The 22868-nt window shown below is 41.2% G+C and overlaps 1 long non-coding RNA gene and 2 pseudogenes across 1 annotated transcript in view; all 3 read left to right on the top strand.

Moving 5' to 3' along the window:
• LOC124901947 (uncharacterized) overlaps positions 1-1974 on the top strand; it is a 42576-nt gene extending 40602 nt beyond the window's left edge. Inside the window, exon 2 of the long non-coding RNA XR_007060913.1 lies at positions 943-1974. This is a non-coding gene — a long non-coding RNA (uncharacterized LOC124901947). The remainder of the gene's footprint in view (positions 1-942) is intronic.
• Positions 8596-9049, top strand: RPL21P79 (ribosomal protein L21 pseudogene 79; annotated as a pseudogene).
• MAPK6P1 (mitogen-activated protein kinase 6 pseudogene 1) lies at positions 11628-16877 on the top strand (annotated as a pseudogene).

The following is a 22868-nucleotide window of genomic DNA, read 5'->3' on the forward strand; positions in this document are numbered from 1 at the left end:
TGGGGTGGTGAGCCACTCTTGCCACAAGAAGGGAAAAAGGGCAAAGGGTAAAAGGTCACTCACTCATCAAGAAATTCACACCAAATCAGAATCAAAACCAAAACCAAAGTGCCGATAAATGCATACCTGTTCATCAAGCAATTCAAGCCAAGTCAAAATCAAAACCAAAACCAAAGTGCAAATAAAGGCACACTGTGGGTGATCAGGCCACGCTTCCACTCAAATGGAGTAGGCAAGTTCCTAAGACCAGTCTTACCATATTCCAGATGTCCAACTCCAAGCATCAGTTCCTTCCCAGTGTTCAGCCACTGTGTTGATCCTCCACGGGGGCCTGCGGCACACTGCTCTGATGAGACATTCCACCAGGGCAAATGCCTACCTGGGAGTGTTCTCAGGATCTGTGTCACTCAAGCCAGCTAGGGTCACCCAAAGGGATGCTCCACAGGGCAGGCAAAAGCTGCCTAAGGGGCTGCCTCACCTTGCTTCCTGGTCAGGGAACCAAGAAATGTAGCAGGACGTGCTACAGACAAAACTCCTCAGACACCGGGTTAAAGAAGGAAGCGGCTTTATTCGGCCGGGAGCTTCAGCAGACTTGCATCTTAAGAGCTGAGCTCCCCAAAAAAAAATTCTTGGCCTTTTTAAGGGCTCACAACTTTAAGGGGTCTACGTGAAAGGGTCACAAGCATGGGGAATGTGACTGGGGGCTACATGCATCAGCTAACAGAACAGAAAGTTTTACAATGCTTCCTCATACAATGTCTGGAATTTACAGATAACACAAATAGTTGAGGTCAGGGGTTGATATTATTATTATTTTTATTATTATTATTATTATTTAACCATCAGGGCAGGGTGGTGGCCCCAAGGTCATCTGGCTATTTATCTTACTTTTTTTCTTTTTAACTTTTTGCTTTCTCCTTTTTCTCTTGTTTTATAAACTAGGCAAGGCGGAGAGCAGCAGGAGAACTGGTGGTCTCCTTCCTCACTATGACTTAAAAAAAAAAAACAAGAGTCCCTTCAAAATATTACTGCTCATTGACAATGCACTTGGTCACTCAAGAGTCCTGACAGAGAGGTACAAGGATATTTTCAGACCTGCAAACACAACATCGCTTCTGAAGCCCATGGTTCAAGGACTAATTCCAACTTTCAAGTCTTGTAATTTAAGAAATACATTCCCTAACACTATAACTGCCATAGATGGTGATTCCTCTGATGGACTAGAAAAGGAAATTGAAAACATTCTGGAAAGTATTCATTCTTCTAGATGCCACTCTAGAACATTCATGATTCATGACATCAAAATATCAACATTAACTGTAGTTTGGAAGAAGTTAATTTTAACCTTCATAGGTGATTTTGACGGGTTCAAGGTTTCAGTGGAGGAAGCAACAGCAGATGCGATAGAAATAGCAAGAGAACTAGAAGTGGAGCCTGAAGGTGGGACTGAATTTCTACAATCAAGGTGGGACTGAATTTCTGCAATCTCATGATAAAACTTGAACAGATGAGGAACTGCTTCTTATGAAGGAGGAGCAAAGAAAGTGGTTTCTTAAGATAGAATCTACTCTTGGTGAAGGTGCTATTTACATTGTTGTAATAACAATAAAGGATTTAGAGTACTGCATAAACTTAGTTCATAAAGCAGCAGCAGAGTTTGAGAGTGTTGGCTCCAATTTTGAAAGAAGTTCTATTGCAGGTAAAATGCTATAAAACAGCATTGCATGCTACAGAGAAATAAAAGGAAGAGTCAATTGCTTCCTTTCTTTCATAAAAGGAAGAGTCAATTGCTCTGGCAAACTCCATTGTTGTCTTAACAAACTGCCACAGCCACCACAATCTTCAGCAACCACCACCCTGATCATTCAGCAGCCATCAACATCAAAGCAAGACCCTTCACCAGCAAAAAGATGATGGTTTGCTGAAGGCTCAGATCATTGTTAGCATTTTTAGCAATAAAATATTTTGAATTAAGATATGTACATTATTTTTTACACATAACACAACTGCACACTCAATAGATTACAGTGCAGTGTAAGCATAACTTTTATATGAATTAGGGAAAAAATGTATGTGACTCATTTTATTGCAATATTTGCTTTACTGCAGTGGTCTGGAATGGAACCCACAATATTTCTGGGGTGTACCTGTCACAATCTGAGCTTATATAGTACTTCATAGTTGTAATTTATTTCATTATTACAATGGCCTTATGATGTTAGTATATTATTGTCCCACTTTCACAGATAAATGAATTGATGCACAGAGAGGCTAAACATATCATCCCTGAAAGTCACACAGCTATTAAGAAACAGAGCTGATTTGGAACTCAGGATATCTGGCTCCAGAAACTGTGCTCTTAACACTGGGCAAGGTGTCATTTATTGACCAACAGCTGGTCTCCCTCACCACACCTTGCTTAGTTTATCATTTGCCTTCAGAGTACTTCACAGTCTCCTGCAGGCACCTGCCCACCTCTCTAGGGGGCTGTTGGTGCCTGGGCCGACTGGCCCACATGAAGGCTCTAGGATCACACCACTGGTGACTGGTTAAGGGGCCCACGTGATGTGGTCATTAAAATAAAACTTGGCTTCTGGTGCTGGCCTCATAATATACTCTAGCTCCTAGCAAGACAAGTTTCTCTAGGCCAGGACCCCCCTTACATTTTACCCCCAGAATCTAGAGAGCTGTCCCCATTCTCAGACTTTCCACTAATGCTGGGTTCCCAAGCACCTTTCAAGGGGTGAGGGGAATTAAAGGAGATGTGCTCATGAAAGTAGTTAAAAATCTGTAAATCACAAAGAGACTATATGTTATTATAAAAGTTTTATGTTTTTATAAAGCCTCCAGAATAGTAGAAAACATGTATTCTTACAAATATTTGTTCAATAATGAATCAATACATATATTCACCATGAGCTGAAAATGCTTCAAAACTTTTAAAAAATCTAAACCGCAATCAAGGTCTTGTGATAGCAGCAACAGAGCTCTAATGCGATTTGGGTGACTTTGGACTACCTATCTTTACTAACATTTACCAAACTCAGACTCACATCTTAAGAAATTAGAAAATACACTCCATCTTTGCTATTCGCTGATTCAAGGTTTGTGAATTCATCTGCTTACTAAAATGTATTTGTCACTCCAAAGTCAATATTCACAGTGTTTGTACAGTCCTTGCAGACATGGATAGAGAGGCAAAAAATTTGAGAAACCCAATGCACACTCCCAGCTGAAGTCAAACCCTCTGCCTTCTTGTTTCAGCTCTCACACTGCAAACAAGTATCCTCCCCACATTCCATTTGGTGCCATGTTTTTTGCATTTTGGGGGGCTTTTTGTTGATGATTCTGCTGTTTAAAATAACACCCTAACTATGGTGCTGTCTATGGTTCCTAAGTGCAAGAAGGCTGTGATGTTATTCAAGGGGAAAAATACATGCATTAGATAAGCTTCCTTCAGACACGAGTTACAGTGCTGTTGTCCATGAGTTCAATGTTAATGAATCAATGATATGTATTAAGCAAGGTGTCTTTAAATAGAAACACACAAAAAACAAGCTCATGTATTGATCAGTGGACAAAAATGTTTTGACTAGTGGCTTGCAGTGACCTAACCCTGTATTTTTCCTGGGAGCAATGCTTCTGAATTTACTAATTCAGAGTTCACAGCGACATTATAGAATACAACTGCCACTAATAAGAAGAAGCAACTGTATATTTCTAAGATAATAATCACATAACAGAAAACACTGATTTTTTAAAATCCCAGTAGCTAGCAAGAAGCCTTTTCTGGACAAAATCTATAGTTCAAGCATTCAAATCTCCATGTCATAATTTATCCCAGGATTTATTTCATCGGCCCCAAGCCACCCAGAAAATAACCTGCTCTATAGTGTTCTGTGGCTGATGCCCAATTCATGAGAGTCCCTGTTATACAGCTACTTAGAGCTCTGAGTACTGATAGGATAAAGAGCTGCAATTATCCAGGCATGGTGTCTCATGCCTGTGGTCCAGCTACTCAGGAGAGAGGCCAAAGGATCACTTAGGTCCAGGAGTTCAAGGTTGCAGTGAGGGATGATCTGATGGTGCCACTGCACTCCAGCCTGGGTGACAAAGCATGACCCCATCTCTTAAAAACTAAAATAAAATAGCTATAAACAGTATTTTATAATTTATCATAATCTCAAAGGTAGTGGAATAAAAAGTTAACATTTAATTCAAAGCCCAAGTAAAGGGCAATATTTGATGAGCTGTTTTCTTCATGAGACTTGGATCTGGTTTTCAGATGCCTATTTCTCCTCTTCTCTTTCTAGTCAACACCCCATACACCTGGAATCCTCTGAATCCATCCAACATTCAATCCACCTATAAAGGCTCAGCCCAAGCCCTCCTTTCATCTTTCCTCACTCCATCTTTTCCTTCCTTCTCTTCTCCAGCGAATGATTATTGAGCAGCTAATGGATGCCAAGCCCTGCTCTAAGCACTAAGGATACAGAAAGTGAGGCCCCTGAGCTTATGGGCTTCATTCCATGAGAGGCAGACAGTAAAAAGTGAGGGCCATAAAGGAAATGAACAAAAGCTGCAGGTGGGGAGGGGAGGAGGGGACACAGCAGATGACAGGTCAGGCTGTGTGATGAGGTGATAGAAGAGGTCCGCTTTCGGGGTTGGACGAGGCCAGAGGCAGGAGAAGGACACTCCAGGAAACATCAAGTGTCAAACCTCAACGTGGGCAGGAGCTCACAGTGCCCACGGCATGGTAAGGAAGCCAGGGCGGTGGAGCACGTCGGTGAGGGCGAGACCAGACTTGCAGTACCACAAAGGAAACAAGCTTCCCGCCGCAGTTCCATCCACATGTCCAATCCCATCCTGACCGCGACTGCGCGGCGGAGAACTGGTTAAGCTGCCCCGGAGTACCAGGGTGAAATGTCAATTCTGATGGGTGTATATTTTGGTCACAGCTTCATTACCATGGAAACATGTGGACACTGTGTTCTTACTTTGAGCCTGGCAGCGGGGGTGTATGAGGCCAGCTCCGGGGTAGGTGCTGCTGCATCTGCCTGGATGCCTGAAGACTGCCCTTGTTTTCAGCGAGGTTAATGACTTCGTGAGGATTGAGTTCAGGGTCAGCAGTTCTTTATCTGCTTTCCCTTGAGCACAGCGTGATCTTTAACCCACGCACCTGGCTCTTCATTAAGGAGATTTTTGTTTTATTTTATACTCACATGATTATTTTTCTGTCCCATTTGGTGAACTCTGTCCTCCCAGCACTGTTTTAGCTGGATTATTTTGTCTTCTCTATCAATTACTTTTTGCTCTCAATGAATTCATCTTTTTCAGTTTTCTTTGGATTCCTGTTGATTAGCTCAAGCCAGTTATTTATCATTTTGTGTTCAGCTGTGCCTATTTTCCTCTTAGTTCTTCTCAGTATAGGTAATAGTTCTGGGATGATGTTGTTTGGGTTCTTAACCTGTTCCTTTAGTTCTGTTATATTCATCCCAGTTTTATCAGCTTTTTTTTTTCTTTTTTTTTTTTTTTGAGACAGAGTCTCACTCTGTCGCCCAGGCTGGGGTGCAGTGGCGTGATCTCCGCTCACTGCTGCAACCTCCACCTCTCAGGTCCAAGCAATTCTCCTGCCTCAGCCTCCCGAGTAGCTGGGACTACATGCGCATGCCACCACGCCCGGCTAATTTTTGTATTTTTAGTAGAGACGGGGTTTCACCATGTTGGCCAGGATGGTCTTGATCTCTTGACCTCATGATCTGCCCGCCTCGGCCTTTCAAAGGGCTGGAGTTACAGGCATAAGCCACAGCGCCCAGCCCTTATCAGCTTTTCTTTAAGGCCTTACCTTATTGAATGTAAGCTTTCCAGGGTTTTCTATAGTGTAAATTACTAGAGTGGAATGTCCCCTGTTTTTGGATTTTCCAGATGATAGGCTGACCCCTCACTGTCCTGGTGCATTTTTCTTCACATTCAGAACTTGTCTCTTGGTGCTCCTCCTGGGCAGGGTGCTCATGACCAGACTCTGCTTGCTGATACACAGTGTGGGAGGCATCTCTTTGTTATCCCCCTCAGCACTATAGTTTGAAGCCTAGGAAGATCTAGCTGTACACACTTTCCTCTAACCTGAAGGCACAGGAGAGCAGATGGAGAAGCCCAGCAGAGGCCCAGCGCAGGCTCTGTGAGGACGCCTGGGCTCCACTCTCTCTTCAGAGGATAACTGCAGATGGTGGATCATTCCCCTAACTCAGGGAAGGGCCTGAGAATGTGCTTCTCCCATTTCTCCAACATTTCTGCTGCCCACCAAACAGAAGAGAGCAAAAACAATAATGCGCATGTAGTTCACTTTTATCCTGAGTCTGAGATGGGAGTAGCTGACCCTCACCTTGGGGTACTACATGCACATGCTGTCTTAATTACTTTAAATATATTAACCAATTTTAACCATTACAGCTTCACTTTGAGGTGGGAGCTGTTTTCATCCCCATTTTACAGATGAGGAAGCTGAGTCACTGAGAAGTTAAGTTAGAAGTTAGGTTATGCCCAAAATCACATAACTAGAGGTAGAAGCTGTCTGACTTCAAAATCTGTGCTCTCAGATATTATCCTAGACTGGGTCCCAGGTTTCATGTTTCTCTTTCACTAGCCACAGTCAGTGCAGGAAGCCTCATCCCCCCATCAGCCAGCCTGCTCCTGGATCTTAGTCAAGATACTCCTAGGAAGCAGCTCCCCAGGACGGAGGTAGTAGCAATGCCCTCTACTCCGTCATTTTTCAGACTAACTTCACTAATTCTTCCTCCACCTGCCACTAAACTTTCTCATCATCTGCATTCCCTATACTCAGTGGTTTCACGTGCTCCCCACTTAAAGTAGAAACTAGAAACAATAGAATAATCCTTGATTCAGATTTCTACTACACCTTCCTGAATTAATCACCAAGTGCCAAATATTTTACTTTCTAAAATTTTCTCAGATTTATCCCTTTCTCTCCATGCTTGGTACAACTATGTTAGTAGAAACCTTCATGAGTTACCATTTGATTATTGCAACTGTTTTTCTGCCTCTTGTGTCTTGCAAATCTGTCTTTCACGCAACAGCTGGTGTAATCTATTTAAATAAAATCTGGAGTCCCTTGATGAAAAGCCTTCAATGGTCTCCTATAGCCGGCACCTTCCCTAGTGTGGTGTGTGCAAGGCCAACCTCGACCCGTCCTCTGTATCTCTCTAGCCTTATCTCCTTACTCAAGTGCTCGGCTTTGGGATCTCTGGAATAACTACAGTTGTTGTGGGGTTTTTTGTTTTTGTTTTTGTTTTTAATTAGACAAGGTCTCACTCTTTCACCCAGGCTGGAGAGCGGTGGTGCTGTCACAGCTCACTGCAGCCTGGAACTGCTGGACTTAAGTGACCCTCCCTTGGAAGGACCTTCTTCCTTCCCCTGTTCATCACTTTCTGAAGTCAGTAGTGTTAGATTTTGTTCATTGTTTGACTTGTGGTGGTAAATTTGGGGGCAGGAAGGAAGAGAGTTTAGGGAGTCTGAGCCTTTGGGGTTTATTTTACAATTTTTGACCATTTTACCAGGTACTAAGTGACAGAGATTCTATGATCCATTTTCATTCTGCCGTGTTTGCCCAGATGTTTCTGAGCGAAGTCTTTATCTTTTTTGAGGGCATAATAGGGATACATGGGATAAAACAGAAGCACAGAGGCAGGGCTCCTACTCCCTCGGTTCTGATTAGGAAAGGCTTCTTACAGAACATTGACTTTTGAGTTGAGACTCGAAGGATACATGGGAATCAGATAGGTGAAACCATTGCAGAAATGTATTTGAGAATGATGTACAAGGCAGAGAATCTAGAAATAGCAGTTGTATAAACAGAACTAGGCCAGGTATGGTGGCTCACACCTGTCATCTCAGCACTTTGGGAGGCTGAAGCAAGAGGATTGCTTGAGGCCAGGAGTTCAAGACCAGCCTGGGCAACACAGTGAGACCCCCTACTCTCCAAAAACTTCCAAAATTCACTGTGTGTGGTGGTACATGCCTGTGGTCCCAGCTACTCAGGAGGCCGAGGTGGGAAGATCACTTCAGTCCAGCAGTTCGAGGCCGCACTGAGCCGCGATGGCACCACTACACTCCAGCCTGGGTGAAAAAGCAAGACTTTGTCTAATTAAAAGCAAAAACTGGCCTTTCAGCTGGAACCACCATCTTCCAGTAATTTACCAAAATGACGAACACAAAGGGAAAGAGGAGAGACACCTGACCCGTGTTCTCTAGGCCTTTTAGAAGACATGGAGTTGGCTGGGCACAGGGGCTCACGCCTGTAATCCCAGCACTTTGAGAGGCCGAGGCAGGAGGATTGCCTGAGCTCAGGAGTTCATGACCAGCCTGGGCAACACGGTGAAACCCCATCTGTACTAAAATACAAAAAATTAGCCAGGCTTGGCAGCGTGCGCCTGTAGTCCCAGCTACTCAGGAGGCTGAGGCAAGAGAATTGCTTGAACCCAGGAGGTGTAGGTTGCAGTGAGCCGAGATCATGCCACTGCACTCGAGCCTGGGTGACAGAGTGAGACTCCTTCTCAAAAATACAAACAACAACAAAAAAAAACATGGAGTTGTTCCTTTGGCCATGTTTATGCAAATCTGTAAGAGAGGTGGTATTATAGATATCAAGGGAAGGGGTACTGTTCAAAAAGGAATGCCCCACAAGTGTTACCATGGCAAAACGAAGAGTCTGCAGTGTTGCCCAGCATGCTGTTGGCATTGTTGTAACAAACAAGTTAAGGGAAAGATTCTTGCCAAGAGAATTAATGTGCGTATTGAGCACATTAAGCACTCTAAGAGCCGAGATAGCTTCCTGAAACGCCTGAAGGAACATGATCAGAAAAAGAAAGAAGCCAAAGAGAAAGGTACCTGGGTTCAACTGAAGCGCCATCCTGCTCCACCCAGAGACACGCACTGTGTGAGAACCAGTGGGAAGGAGCCTGAGCTGAGGAAGCTATTCCCTATGGATTCATGGCATATTAACTGTTTAAATGAAATAAAAGACTTCTGGACTGTAAAAATGTTTCTCTTCATTGAGTAGAAGTGTGGCGTCTCCTCCTCCAAAGAAATATTTAAAGCAAATTTGAATTTTGTCCTAATTCATTCTGTAATTTACTATTCAAATTTAATGTATTTCTTGCTGAAAGATGTGAGGTGGCTTACTGTGCAACAAATTACTCAATTGATTAGAAAACAGCCAGATATTAATTATGAAATATTTGTATTGATTTGAAGATAGTCCCTCTAAATCATCATGGAAGCACTAAAATAATTTACAAAAAGAAAAAAAAAACATAGTTCAGAGATCCTAAATCCTAGATCTTAAGTAAGAAGACGAGGCTAGAGAAATAAAGAGGACAGGTCGAGGTTGGCTTTGTACACAACATAGCAGGGAAGTTGCCGGCTATCAGAAGCCATTGAAGACTTTTGATCAAGGGACTTCAGATTTTGTCTAAATATATCACACCAGCTGTTATGTGAAAGGAGATTTTGCAAGGCACAAGAGGCAGAAAAACTAGTTGATAAACTATTGCAATAATCTAATGGGTAAACTCATGAAGGTTTCTATCAAGATAGTTGTGCCAAGTATGGCGAGAACAAAATAGATCCGAGAAAATTTTAGAAAGCAAAATATTTGACATTTGGCGATTAATTCAGGTACAGTAGGAATCTGAATCAAAGATGACTCTATTATTTCTAGTTTCTAATTTAAGTGGGTAGCAAGTGAAACCACTGAGTATGGGGAATGCAGATGATGGGAAAATTTAGTGGTAGGTGAAGGAAGAATTAGTGAATTTAGTTTGAAAAATGTACAATTTGTGTTGCCTATTGTATATGAAATAACTAAGAAGAAATATCAGCCTCTATCCAGAAGAGATTTCTTTCTCCAATAACATTTTTACATGCATACTCTTCTGGTATTTACCAAAAACTTTCTTATATACACAATGTACATTTGAGTCTAGTTTTTCTTGCTAGATTGCAAACTTGATAATAGGAGGCATATTGTGTAATTTATTTTTATAAGCTCCAGAGTGCCTGTATAGCACAAATACTTGCATGTAATTCGTGCTTAATTTATGTGATGAGTTAAAAGATGGCTAGAAGGATAAATGCATGGATGGATGCATGGATGGATGGTTGGATGGATGGATGGTGGCTCATGAATGGATGCATGGATGGATGGGTTGATGCATGGATGGATGGATGGATGGATGGATGGATGGATGATGGATCATGGATGGATAGATGAATGCATGGACAAATGGAGTAATGACTTCAAGCAGACTCTACAGATATAAGGTGACAGAAAAAAATATGAAAAATGGAACCCAAGTAATAGAATTCTAAACCGATATTTGCTACCAGAAAATATGAGTTTTGTTTTATGTTTGTTTAAATTTATAAGCTGGATGTCTTTCAGAGACTTAAATTTATCAAAGAATCAGAAAAAAGAGTAGTCTTAAACTATAAAGTAAGATAGATTTATGTAGCTGCTAGGAAGCATTTAGACTTATGAAACACATTAAAAGTGAGGCAACATGATTAGCAGTGTTAATAGTACTGAAGGTGATTTCTATGGTAACTCAGTATATCAATTATGTGCACATTATTATTTCAAAAGATAATTTTTCAAACTACAATCTCATAGCCTGTAAAAATTAAAATATCCATTAAACAGCTCAATTACCTCTGCTGTTTAATGGGTAGCTAGGTTTCCATTAAGGATTCATGTTCAGTTCATTCTTGTTGATGATTTACCTCTTGTACTTCTTCACCCTCCTGCAGCTTCAGATTACACTCGTGACAAGCTCCCTTTCTAGCATGAATGTACATTTCCTAATTATTATTATTACAGAAATTATGTTTGACCTGATTGGTCTGTAGGAAATGAACTGCTCACCTTTTAGAATCAATAGCCATTTAATACATCAGCAAACTAATTAGCTAAAGAGCAGCCCAATACCCTGAGGCTAATCATCCACCTCTAAAAGGTAGAGAATTTATTCCCTCTCTACTAGTGAAGTGAGCCCTAGTATTATTTACGGAGAGAAATCCTTAGATTTCCCAGCAATTAAATTCAACTGTTGCCCTTTAGAGTCAAAGTTAGTATTTCAAGTGAAAGCACATCCCACCCTCCTTCCCAAAACAACCACCTTTAGAACAACTTGGGCTTGAATTTTCCACACTCTTTGACCTTGAACAAGTTTCCTAACATCTCTGAGCCTGTATTCGTATCCATAAAATAATCTTATAAGGTTATTGTGTGTGTTCATGAGACAATACGTGCAAAGACCAGCATATATATTAGAAATGATCCATCAGTATCACCTTGACTAATGATGGATTGTGAGATTAAATCTACAAGACAGACTTTCCCTTATGGAAGCAGTGCCATTCCACTATCAAATTTAGCTGATGCAATTTCCTGGTTTCCAATTTCCACCTGCAGCACAAACATAAAGTCTTCTAGCCTGGTTTGGTTCTGGAAGCATCAACCAAAGCTCCCCACAGATACAGAGAGTCTACTTCCACCCCACGCAATCCTCCCCTGCCCACCAAAGAACACACATTTAAAAAAGACCAGAGTTGGGTCGCGGTTATACGGCAGCGACTGTGGCAAAGTGAGAGCCTGGAGACCTGAGCCGACACTGGGGGCTGTCCGCCAGCCCCGCATTCTCTCGAGGAGTCGGAGAAGTCCCATTGTATCAGAGTAAGATGGACAGTAGCTTTGATTGTGAGTGTGCTGAGCTGGAGCCTCCTGATCACTAACAAAAGACATCTTCTGTTAAGCAACAGCCGCCAGGGCTTCCTGTTGAAATATACAGCAACAAAGAAAGCAAAGAAGCAAAACGGAAATGGTGCCTACCGGCTCCTTAGAACAACACTGCTCAGGACTAGTCCAACACTGAATGGATCTGCACTGTAAGGAGAATGTTCATAGAAGCCTGTTGTGTGCATATTTATTCACATGTTTGTTAAATGTTAAATCGTTTAGCACAGTAATATGAGTGCATAGTATGTCATTTCATTCCATTTGAATTTCTTGAGTGTTTTCTTTAAATGTCTGTAGAGTTGCTGCCCCTTTCTTGAACTATGAGTACTGCAATCTTTTTAATTCTCAATATGAGTAGAGCTTTTTGATTTCAGTCTAAGGGGAACTCAACAGGCCTGTTTGGCATATGCAGTGAACATCAAGAAACCATCTTGCTGTGGAAGCATAATTATTTTTCTTCTCCCTTTTTGAAAAATATTTCCTTTTCATGCCAGTTTTCTTCCTTGTTTACACAAGTTCAACATTTTGAAAAGAAAAGGCAATAGTAAGGGTTTCAAAATGGCAGAGAAATTTCAAAGTTTCATGAACATTCATGGTTTTGATCTGGGCTCTAGGTATATAGACTTAAAACCATTGAGTTGTAGAGGCAATGGCTTGGTTTTTTCTGCTGTAGACAATGACTGTGACAAAAGAGTGGCCATCAAGAAAATTGTCCTTACTGATCCCCAGAGTGTCAACATGCTCTACATGATATCAAAATTATTAGAAGACTTGACCATAATAACACTGTGAAAGTGTCTGAAATTCTTGGTCCCAGTGGAAGCTAATTAACATACAATGTGGGCTCTCTTACAGAGCTGAACAGTGTTTACATTGCTCAGGAGTACATGGAGACAGACTTGGCTAATGTGCTGGAGCAGGGCCCTTTACTGGAAGAGTGTGCCAGGCTTTTCATGTATCAGCTGATACTGGGGCTCAAGTATATTCACTCTGCAAATGTACTGCACAGAGATCCCAAACCAGCTATTCTTTTCATTAATACTGAAAACTTGGTGCTGAAGATAGGTGACTTTAGTCTTGCACGGATCATGGATCCTCATTATTCCCATAAGCATCATCTTTCTGAAGGATTGATTACTAAATGATACAGATCTCCACATCATTTACTTTCTCATAATAATTATACTAAAGCCATTGACATGTGGGCTGCAGGCTGCATCTTTTCGAAATGCTGACTGGTAAAATCCTTTTTGCAGGTGCACATGAACTTGAACAGATGCAGCTGATTTTAGAATCTAGTCCTGTTGTACATGAGAAAGATTGTCAGGAGCTTCTCAGCATAACTCCAGTTTACATTAGAAAAGACAAGACTGAGCCAAACAAACCTTTAACTCAGCTGCTTCCAGGAATTAGTTGAGAAGCACTGGGCTTCCTGAAACAAATTTTGACATTTAGCCCCATGGGTCAGTTAACAGCAGAAGCGCTCTCCTGTCCTTACATGAGCTGTTGTGGGAAGTCAGGGACCCCGAATGGAGGGACCAGCTGGAGCCCTGGCAGAAGAATATAAATTGTGAAGATTTCATGGACGTTTATTAGTTCCCCAAATTAGTATTTTTATAATTTCTTACGCCTGTCTCTACTGCAATCTCTGAACATAAATTGTGAAGATTTCATGGACATTTATCACTTCCTCAATCAATACTCTTATAATTTCCTATGCCTGTCTTTACTTTAATCTCTTAATCCCATCATCTTCGTAAGCTGAGGATGTATGTCACCTCAGGACCCTGTGATGATTGTGTTAACTGCACAAATTGTTTGTAAAACATGTGTGTTTGAAAAATATGAAATCTGGGCATCCTAAAAAAGAACAGGATAACAGCAATTTTCAGGGAATAAGGGAGATAACCATAAGGTCTGACTGCCTGTGGGGCTGGGCAGAACAGTCATATTTCTCTTCTTGCAGAAAGCGAATAGGAGAAATATCGCTGAATTCTTTTCCCAGCAAGGAATAACCCTGGGGAAGGAATGCATTCCCAGGGGAGGTCTATGGACGGCCGCTCTGGAAGTGTCTGCCTTATGCGGTTGAAGATAAAGGATGAAATATGCCCTGGTCTCCTGCAGTGCCCTCAGGCTTGCTAGGATTAGGAAATTCCAGCCTGGCAAATTCTAGTCAGACCAGTTGTCTGCTCTCGAACCTTGTTTCCTGTTAAGATGTTTGTCAATGACAATGCATGTCCAGCTGGACATGGAACCTCATCAGTAATTCTAATTTTGCCCTGGCCTTGTGATCTTGCTCTGCCTCTCTGCCCTTGTGATCTTTTATTGCCCTCTGAAGCATGTGATCTTTGTGACTTACTCCCTGTTTGTACCCCCCTCCCCTTTTGAAATCCCTAATAAAAACTTGCTGGTTTTGTGGCTCAAGGGGCATCACAGAACCTACCAATAGGTGATGTCACCCCTGGAGGCCCAGCTGTAAAATTTCTCTCTTTTGTACTCTTTCTCTTTATTTCTCAGACCAGCCGACACTTAGGGAAAATAGAAAAGAACGTACGTTGAAATACTGGGGGCTGGTTCCCCCGAAAATGAGCATATGTTCTTTTCCAATGGATGAGCTAATTTCAAGTCATCCCTTTCATGTTGAAGATAAAGTTGATGATGTTTTACTTATGGATGAAACTCACAGTCACATTTATAACTGGGAAAGGTACCGTAATTGTCAGTTTTCAGAACATGATTGGCCTATACATAACAACTTTGATATTGATTAAGTTCAGCTTGATCCAAGATCTCTGTTTTATGTCACTGATGAAGAAGTACAATTTGATCCCTGAAAATATTTGAATGGAGATCGGGAAAAGTATCTGGAGGATCCTGCTTTTGATATCAATTATTCTACTGAGCCTTGTGAGCCAGATCATCATGAAAACAAATACTGTCATCTGGAGTGTAGCCATGTTTGTAACTACAAAATGAGGTCATCATCATATTTAGATAACTTAGTTTGGAGAGAGTGAAGTTAACCATTACTATGAAGCCAGGCTTATTATAGATCTTTCCAACTGGAAAGAACAAAGCAAAGAAAAAATCTGATAAGAAAGGCAAATCGGAATGTGAAAGGAATGGATTGGTTAAAGCCCAGATAGCACTAGAGGAAGCATCAAAGCAACTGGCTGGAAAAGAAAAAGAAAAGAATCAGTGATTTGACTTTGATTCCATTATTGCAGGAACCATTCAACTTAGTTCCCAAAATGAGCCTACTGATGTTGTTGATAAATTAAATGACTTGAATAGCTCGGTGTCCCAACTAGAACTGAAAAGTTTGATATCAAAGTCAGTAAGCCAAGAAAAACAGGAAAAAGGAATGACAAATCTGGCTCAATTAGAAGCCTCGTACCAATCATCTTGGGACAGCCAGTTTGTGAGTGGTGGGGAGGACTGTTTTCTCATAAATCAGTTTTGTTGTGAGGTAAGGAAGGATGAACAAGTTGAGAAGGAAAACTGTTAGACCAGTTACTTGGACAAGTTCTTTAGCAGGAAAGAAGATCCTGAAATGCTAGAAACTGAGCCAGTAGAGGATGGGAAGCTTGGGGAGAGAGGAAATGAGGAAGGATTTCTGAACAACAGTGGGGAGTTCCTCTCTAACAAGCAGCTCGAGTCCATAGGCATCCCGCAGTTTCACAGTCCAGTTGGGTCACCACTTAAGTCAACACAGGCCACAGGAACACCTTCCGCTGTGAAATCTTCCCCTCAAATTCCTCATCAAACATACAGCAGCATTCTGAAACATCTGAGCTAAAACATTCATCAGACATTTATCTTTGAATTCTTCATGAAATGTGTTTTGCCTTTTTTTATTACTAGTGTTTAAGTCACTTTTTACTTTAATCAGATGGTGTCATTTAGTAAGGGTTTTATTAGTTGGTTTATTTTATTATTGGTTTTTAAAATCCAGACTTTTTTTCTACATGTGAGATGGTTTTCATTTTAACTGGCATGTCGTTTGCACACAAAATTAAAGAATAAAGCAAAATAATGCAACACAAGAGGAGATGAAATTCGCTAAGACGAGTAAAGAACATTCCCTCATAGAACGATGATCTGTTTTACAGGAAACAAACCTTGCCTTGAAATTTACACAGTAAGACTCTACATAATTGCATGAAAATATCTATTTTTTTCCAAAAACATTTTTCACTCATGAGTATTTTCAAGTTTTTCATACCGTACACATTTCTTAAAAGACATGATACCAGCAGCAATTGAAAATGAATGCCAAATTTGATACACATGTGTTATCTACCTCAAGGTGAGAAGAGTAATTAGCAAAACATATACCACCCACAGTGCTTCACAATACGCACTTCTATTTAGCCAGTGTTTATTGTAGTAAACTATTCTTAATAAGACTCACTCACTGTTTATAAACGCTCTGGTATGCATTCTTTATAGTGAAGTGTTACTATATCACATCTTATTGATTTTAGCGTATCAGTATATTTTCTTTAATTATAAAAATTAATTTGGTTTTAAAAATTTATTTGCAAACACACTTTTTCAATTTGACACTATGGTTTGTTGCCTACCTAGCTTAGTATATAATGTCAGCTTATCCTAAGGCTGTCCAAGTACTTAATTTACTTAAGTGTTCATTTTAACTAACGTGCTCACTGTGTATAGGAATTTGTATTTTGTAGGTGCTTGGTCTATCTACAAAGAAAAATTAGGAAATGCTTTATTATAAAATGCTCCTAGAAGTCCTAATTGTGTTTATTTAAAAAAAAAAAACTAATGTTAGACTTGTGTGCATGGAAGTAATTAAGGTATATCATTATTGTAGTTTAAAAGTTGTACATGATAAGATATTTTGATTTTAGTAATGTATATTTTTAGTGAATGATCTATTCCCCATCCCAAGGCAAGCATGAATAAAATTAGGTTAAATGTAGCATGTGGCATCACAGTCTCTTAGAATTTGTTTCATCTATTTTATTTTATTGCATACTATCTGCATCTTCAGTTAACCTATTTGAAGAAAAAGAACAAATAAAACATGGCCAGCAAAAATGAAATAAAATAAAAGATCAGAGTCGGTGAAAGAGAGAAACACTAAGGATGGTAATAAGTGAAATGGGTCAGATTTCACTGCTTGCAGATTTGACTGCTGTCCACGCAGACTGTGCTTCTCCTTTAGCCCAACACAATGTAGTTTTCTCTTCCCACCTCTCTGCCTGAACCTGTTCTATTTCATTATTCTTTAATAGCCAGTCCTGCTAAGCTGAACTTATCATCGTTTATAATAAACAATGTTGTCTATATCTTTATTCATTCTGAAAACTTCTATCAAGCAGCTACTTTGGGCCAGGCTATAAGTAGATATGGGTCCTGCCCTCCAGCACTTACCCACGAGAGGGGAGAGCCTAGGTGCACACAGAAAAAGGACAATACAATACTGAGCATGCTTCGGGATTAGGAACATAAGAGCTTTGCACCCACTCACCACTGGTACCACCTACAGCCACTCCTGCAAACTGAAGTCATCTCAGGGAGGCGGTCACTTGCCAGCTGTCTAATCCGTCCTGCCTGCTCTCAGCCAGCTCTTCCTCACTAAGCTCTGCTGTCTTTGATACCCTCTTCTTTTCAACCAGAGCCTGCTGCCCTTGGCTTATCAGAGGCTCCTCCCTGCTGTCATCTCCAGCTCTGCCCACAGCACCTGCTTGTGCATTCAGTGTCTGCATGGACTGAATGCTTGTGTCCTACCAAAATTCAAATGTCAGAATCCTAACCCCCCATGAGATAGTATTAAAAGGCGGGGCCTTTGGAAAGTGATTAGATCCTGAGGGTGGAGCCCTCATGGATGGAATTAGTGCCCTTAAAAAAGGGACCCCAGAGACACCCTCTTCTTTTCTACCATGTGAGGACAAAGCAGGAAAGTGGCCATCTATGATCAGAAAGCAGGTTCTCACCAGACCCCAAATCTCCCACTGCCTCTATCTTGGACTTCCCAGGTTCCAGACCTGTGAAAAATAAATGCTGGCTGTGTAAGGCACCCAGGCTATGGTATTCCGGCAGCTTGCACAGGCTAAGACAGCACCTGTGCTTGGGTCAGTTGGGGTTCATGGCTCTCCTCTTGACCATTCCACAGCTCTCTCCTCCCCAGCCCTTCTTCCAGGACCAGGGTGCCAAAACACTCAGGCCACTCCACAAGCACTGAGAGGGTGCTGAGACCCTCTAAGAGGTCTTGCAAGATCAAAACTATTTCCTTTTTTTTCACTTTTAGTTTAGCTTCCGGGGTAGATGTGCAGGTTTGTTACATGGGTAAACTCATGTCACCAGGGTTTGTTGTACACATTATTTGATCACCCAGGTACTAAGCCTAGTACCCAATAGTTATTTTTCCTGATCCTCTCCCTCCTCCCACCCTCTATCCTCGAAAGGCTCCATTGTCTATTGTTCCCGTCTTTGTGCCTATGTGTTCTCATCATTTAACTCCCATTTATAAGTGAGAACATGGGGTATCTGGTTTTCTGTTCTGCATTAGTTTGCTAATGATAATGGGCTCCAGCTCCAACCATGCTCCTGCAAAGGACATGATCTCGTTCTTCTTCGGCCATTTGCACTAATGGTGGGTTAAATTGCTGGTGTTTAGCAGGAATCAGACAATGACACCAAACTGTGCTAGAAGTCAGTGAGCTCAAAGCTGAAGTTTAAAAAAATTGCCAGTTTTACATAAGCACTTCACTTTATTGATGAAGCTGTAACAATTATTAACTTTAAGTCTCTACCTTTGAGTATGCATCTTTGTAATATTCTGTGTGATGAAATAGGAAGTATGTATGAAGCACTTCAGCTGCACGGGAAAGTATAACAGTTGTGCCACACAAAAATACATGTGATCATTTGAGTCGCAAGCTGTACTAACCACTTCTTTCATACGACACCATTTTTACTTAAAGAAATATTGCAAACCACCTATTGCTATTCAGAATTGGGTCTTATTTTTTCCAAGATGAACCAAGTGAGCTTGTCACTTCAAGGAAAACAACTGACAGTATTTCTTGCTGATATAAGATCCAATCTTTCAAGCCAAAACTTAAATTTTAGAACATTCCAAAATAAAGACTTTCATGGTAAAGTCAGTAGTCCTTCTAACAAATATAATTTTTTGATATCATGTAATGAAATGCATTGACATTTGGAAAATCTGCATAACTTGGTGAACCAATGTTTTCCAAATAACCAATGCATGAAGGTTCAGAAGCATACATGGGTTATAAAGCTCCATCCAAAGTGAGAGAACCCATTGGATTTGAATGTTATGGAGTATAAAACGATATTGGCAGGGTTTCAGACTTCACGCTGCAATTAGCCTTTAAGAAACTGTCACTGGTCCAATCTGGTATAGTATCAAAGACAAATATCCACAATTTTCTGAAAAGCCTTTTGATATTAATATATCCATTTTCTAACTACATATATGTGTGAGACTGGGTTTTCTTTATATACTTCAATCAAAACAACACATTTGTAGCAGACTAAATGCAGAAATAGATATGAGAATCCAACTGCTTTCCTATTATGCCAGACATTAATTAGCAAAAGTGTAACACAACCACAAAAAAGTAACACATGTCACTTTTTCCTTCTTTTTTTTTTTTTGGTTTTGTTTTGTTTGAGAAATTATAGGGTTTGTTTTTGTTTTTGTTTTTGTTTCTTGAGACAGAGTCTTACTCTGTCGCCCAAGCTGGAGTGCAGTGATGCGATCTCGGCTCACTGCAACCGCTGCCTCCCAAGTTCAAGCGATTCTCCTGCCTCAGCCTCCCGAGTAGCTGGGACTATAGTCACCCGCCATCGTGCCTGGCTAATTTTTGTATTTTTAGTAGAGACGGAGTTTCGCCGTGCTGGCCAGGCTGGTCTCGAACTCCTGACCTCAGGTGATCCACCCACCTCGGCCTCCCAAAGTGCTGGGATTACAGGCGTGAGCAACCACACCTGGCCTATAGGTATTTTTATTAAAATGTATTATGTATATGTCATATAATTGTCATTCTCATTTTTAAATGGATTTAATAAATATATATTTTTAATCTTCTCGGGTTTATTCCCTAACTTGGAAAATATAGATATCACCCACATAAACACACACTCTTTGTGTCCTCAACAGTTTTTAAAAATGTAAAAAGGATCGGAGACCAGGAAGCTTGAGAACCACCATGCTATGTGTCTCTGGCTTACCCCAACCATGAGACATTAGTGGGAAACCAGCTTCAGGGGGAGCCCTAGGAACACTGCAATCTTTCAGTAGTCAGGGAAGGCATCATAAAGAAGGCCTCTTATGAGCTGCCACCTGAAGGATGTACAAATTATCTAAGGAGTTTGTGTTCTCCTTAGATAGCTCTCTAAAAGAGCATAATAATGCCTGTTGAGTAGTATGATGGAAGAACTCTGGACCAAGAGTCATAAAATAGGATGTTACTATTCTATAATATAGAGCCATTGATTTATCATATATAGGTTTCCTGACCTATAAAATGCAGACATTTCTCAGCCTTCCTTGCACATGGGTGTGGCCACATGACTGCTACTTAGTTAATAAAGGCAGGCAGCAAGTTATGTGCAACTTCTGCATCACGCTAGGAAGTTGCTTACATCCACTTTCTCTTTCCCACTTTTCACTGGCTGGAAAATGGCAACTGCTAGAGAAGCCTGCTTGGACCCTGAGATATCTACTTGTTGAGGATGGCAGAGCCACCTAAGGAACCTGGTAACAGGGTGGCCTCAGAGAGCAATGCCACTTAATCTACCCTGAGCTATCTGGTTAGCTCTGGGCTGTTATGTGAGGGAGAAATAAATGTCTAGATTATTGAAACAACTTTTCTATTCATCTCTTTGTTGCAATTTTTGCTTCTACCAAAACTGATGCAGAGCTGAAGACAATTTCTTGGTCCTCAACTAAGTAGCAAACATGTTGGTGTTTCTGCATTCACAAATTCAACTCTCAGAAATGCAAGGGCTAATTCATCATCAAGAAACAAAATCAATGCACATTATAACCCTGTCTAAAAGCACTGAGACAGGTATGATTTTCAGTTATTTTTCTGCAGGCATTTAATTACACCTTGACTGAACATGCAAATGTCCCCATTAGGATTGTTTTCTTTGCTAGTAAAATATTTTGCTCAGTTATAACCACTTATTTTTTCTTGACATCATTTATTCCTCTGACTGAATAGAATCTGAATTCACTGATTGGGTGGATGTCAAGTTGAAAGCCCATATAGTTCAAAAACAGGATAACCGTTTTTCTTACAATTATATAGTTCATGAACACAGAGGCTTTGGATAATGTGTCATATAGGTCACTCCTGAGACCAATCAATATAAACAGAAATGGCAAGAGAAATAAGACAGAGGTGTAGAACAATAGGAGTTTCTAAAGTTCAATGAAGTAGAAAAAGGTTTGACTGTAGGCTTTAAACTGGCTTGTCATAAAAGACAATCCTTTTAGAGTCTCTGAACTAGAAGAAGTTTGGCAAGTAATATAAAAAGTAGAGTATGCCCACACAGTCCAAAATTAGATAGAGAACTACCTGGTGCATTTGCTCTACAGAGACCTCTACATGAGAATAAAATCTAAGGTTTTTCTTTTTATTATTATTATTTTTTATTTCTATTTTTATGTTTTTTTTTTTTTTTTTTGAGACAGAGTGTTGCTCTGTCACCTAGGCTGAAGTGCAGTGGTGTGATCTTGGCTCACTACAACTTCCGCCTCCCAAGTTCAAATGATTCTCGTGCCTCAGCCTCCTGAGTAGCTGGGATTACAGGCACCTACCACCACGCCCAGCTAATTTTTTGTATTTTTAGTAGAGACAGGGTTTCACCATGTTGACCAGGCTGGTCTTGAACTCCTGACCTCAAGCAATCCACCCACCTTGGCCTCTCAAAGTGCTGGGATTACAGGCATGAGCCACCAAAAATCAAAGGTTTTTCTTAATCCTTTTGAGAATATAATCATTTTGTGTTTTGATATTAGAATCAACCATGATATCTTGGTCTGAAATCTCAGCTATCTTATTTAGGATCTTCTCTTTATCCTTAAAGTCCAACTAAACAGGTGGAAAATGGAGAATGACTGCATATCATGATGAGATGGTGTTAAATTTCCTCAGGCTGTGGTTGCATTTGTCACTGGATGAGACAGGAGGGCACCCAGTAACATGGCCAATCTCAGTTGCCTGTGCTTCTCAATTTCCCCTTGCAGGTCACGCTATCCTGGAGTCCTTCTCCACAGCAGCAGTTCCTCCCATTTGGGAAGCCAGGGAACCTCAGAGGACCTGCAAAAACATTCTCTCACACACCCGAAATCCTCATATACACCGTTTCTCGCACAATTTCAGGTGGTTAAGGGACCTTCTGAAACCCATTCCCTCATCTTGAGCTTAGATGATTGCCAGGCCCCAGTCTCACTGGGTGGAAACCCTCAGCCTTCATGCATAAAATTACCCTGCTCAGGAAGTCCCCCGGGAGCACAAAGGAGGCAAAGTCGAGGCACAAGGAGAGGCCTCCAAGTGTCTCTATGACTGGGGTAAGAAGTGCAGGCAGAAACCACACATCGTCACAGATGCCTTCAGACGAAGCCATCCACTCAACAAATGAGGAGACCACAAGCAGGTCCAGGGAACGCCTGGGACCATGGAGCAGACCTGGGCCTCTGAGTGGCCTGCCCAGAGCACTCTGCATCCTACCACACGTGTGGACAAGCGCTGGTGATGCTGGAGGACAGGAGACAGCAAACAGCATTACTTTCTTCTCCAGTGCCATTTGTAACCATTGAGAAAGGAGGCAACTGGACACCCACTAGATGGAGGTCATAATGGCACCTTCATTACTGATGAGTTGATGTGAGGGTGTGGTTCTATGTATGTCTCCCAGGGGCCTGGGAGGAAATCAGGGGGCCACACAGCTGGGGTGCCCAGCCAGGACTGCTGGAGGAGAGAAGGGAACAAACCTCCAGTGCTTTCAGATTGTTCATAGATTAGCTGCACCCAGTAGGGGA

The sequence above is a fragment of the Homo sapiens genome, chromosome 8 (assembly GCF_000001405.40).
Source record: "Homo sapiens chromosome 8, GRCh38.p14 Primary Assembly".
Taxonomy (NCBI): Eukaryota; Metazoa; Chordata; class Mammalia; order Primates; family Hominidae; genus Homo; species Homo sapiens.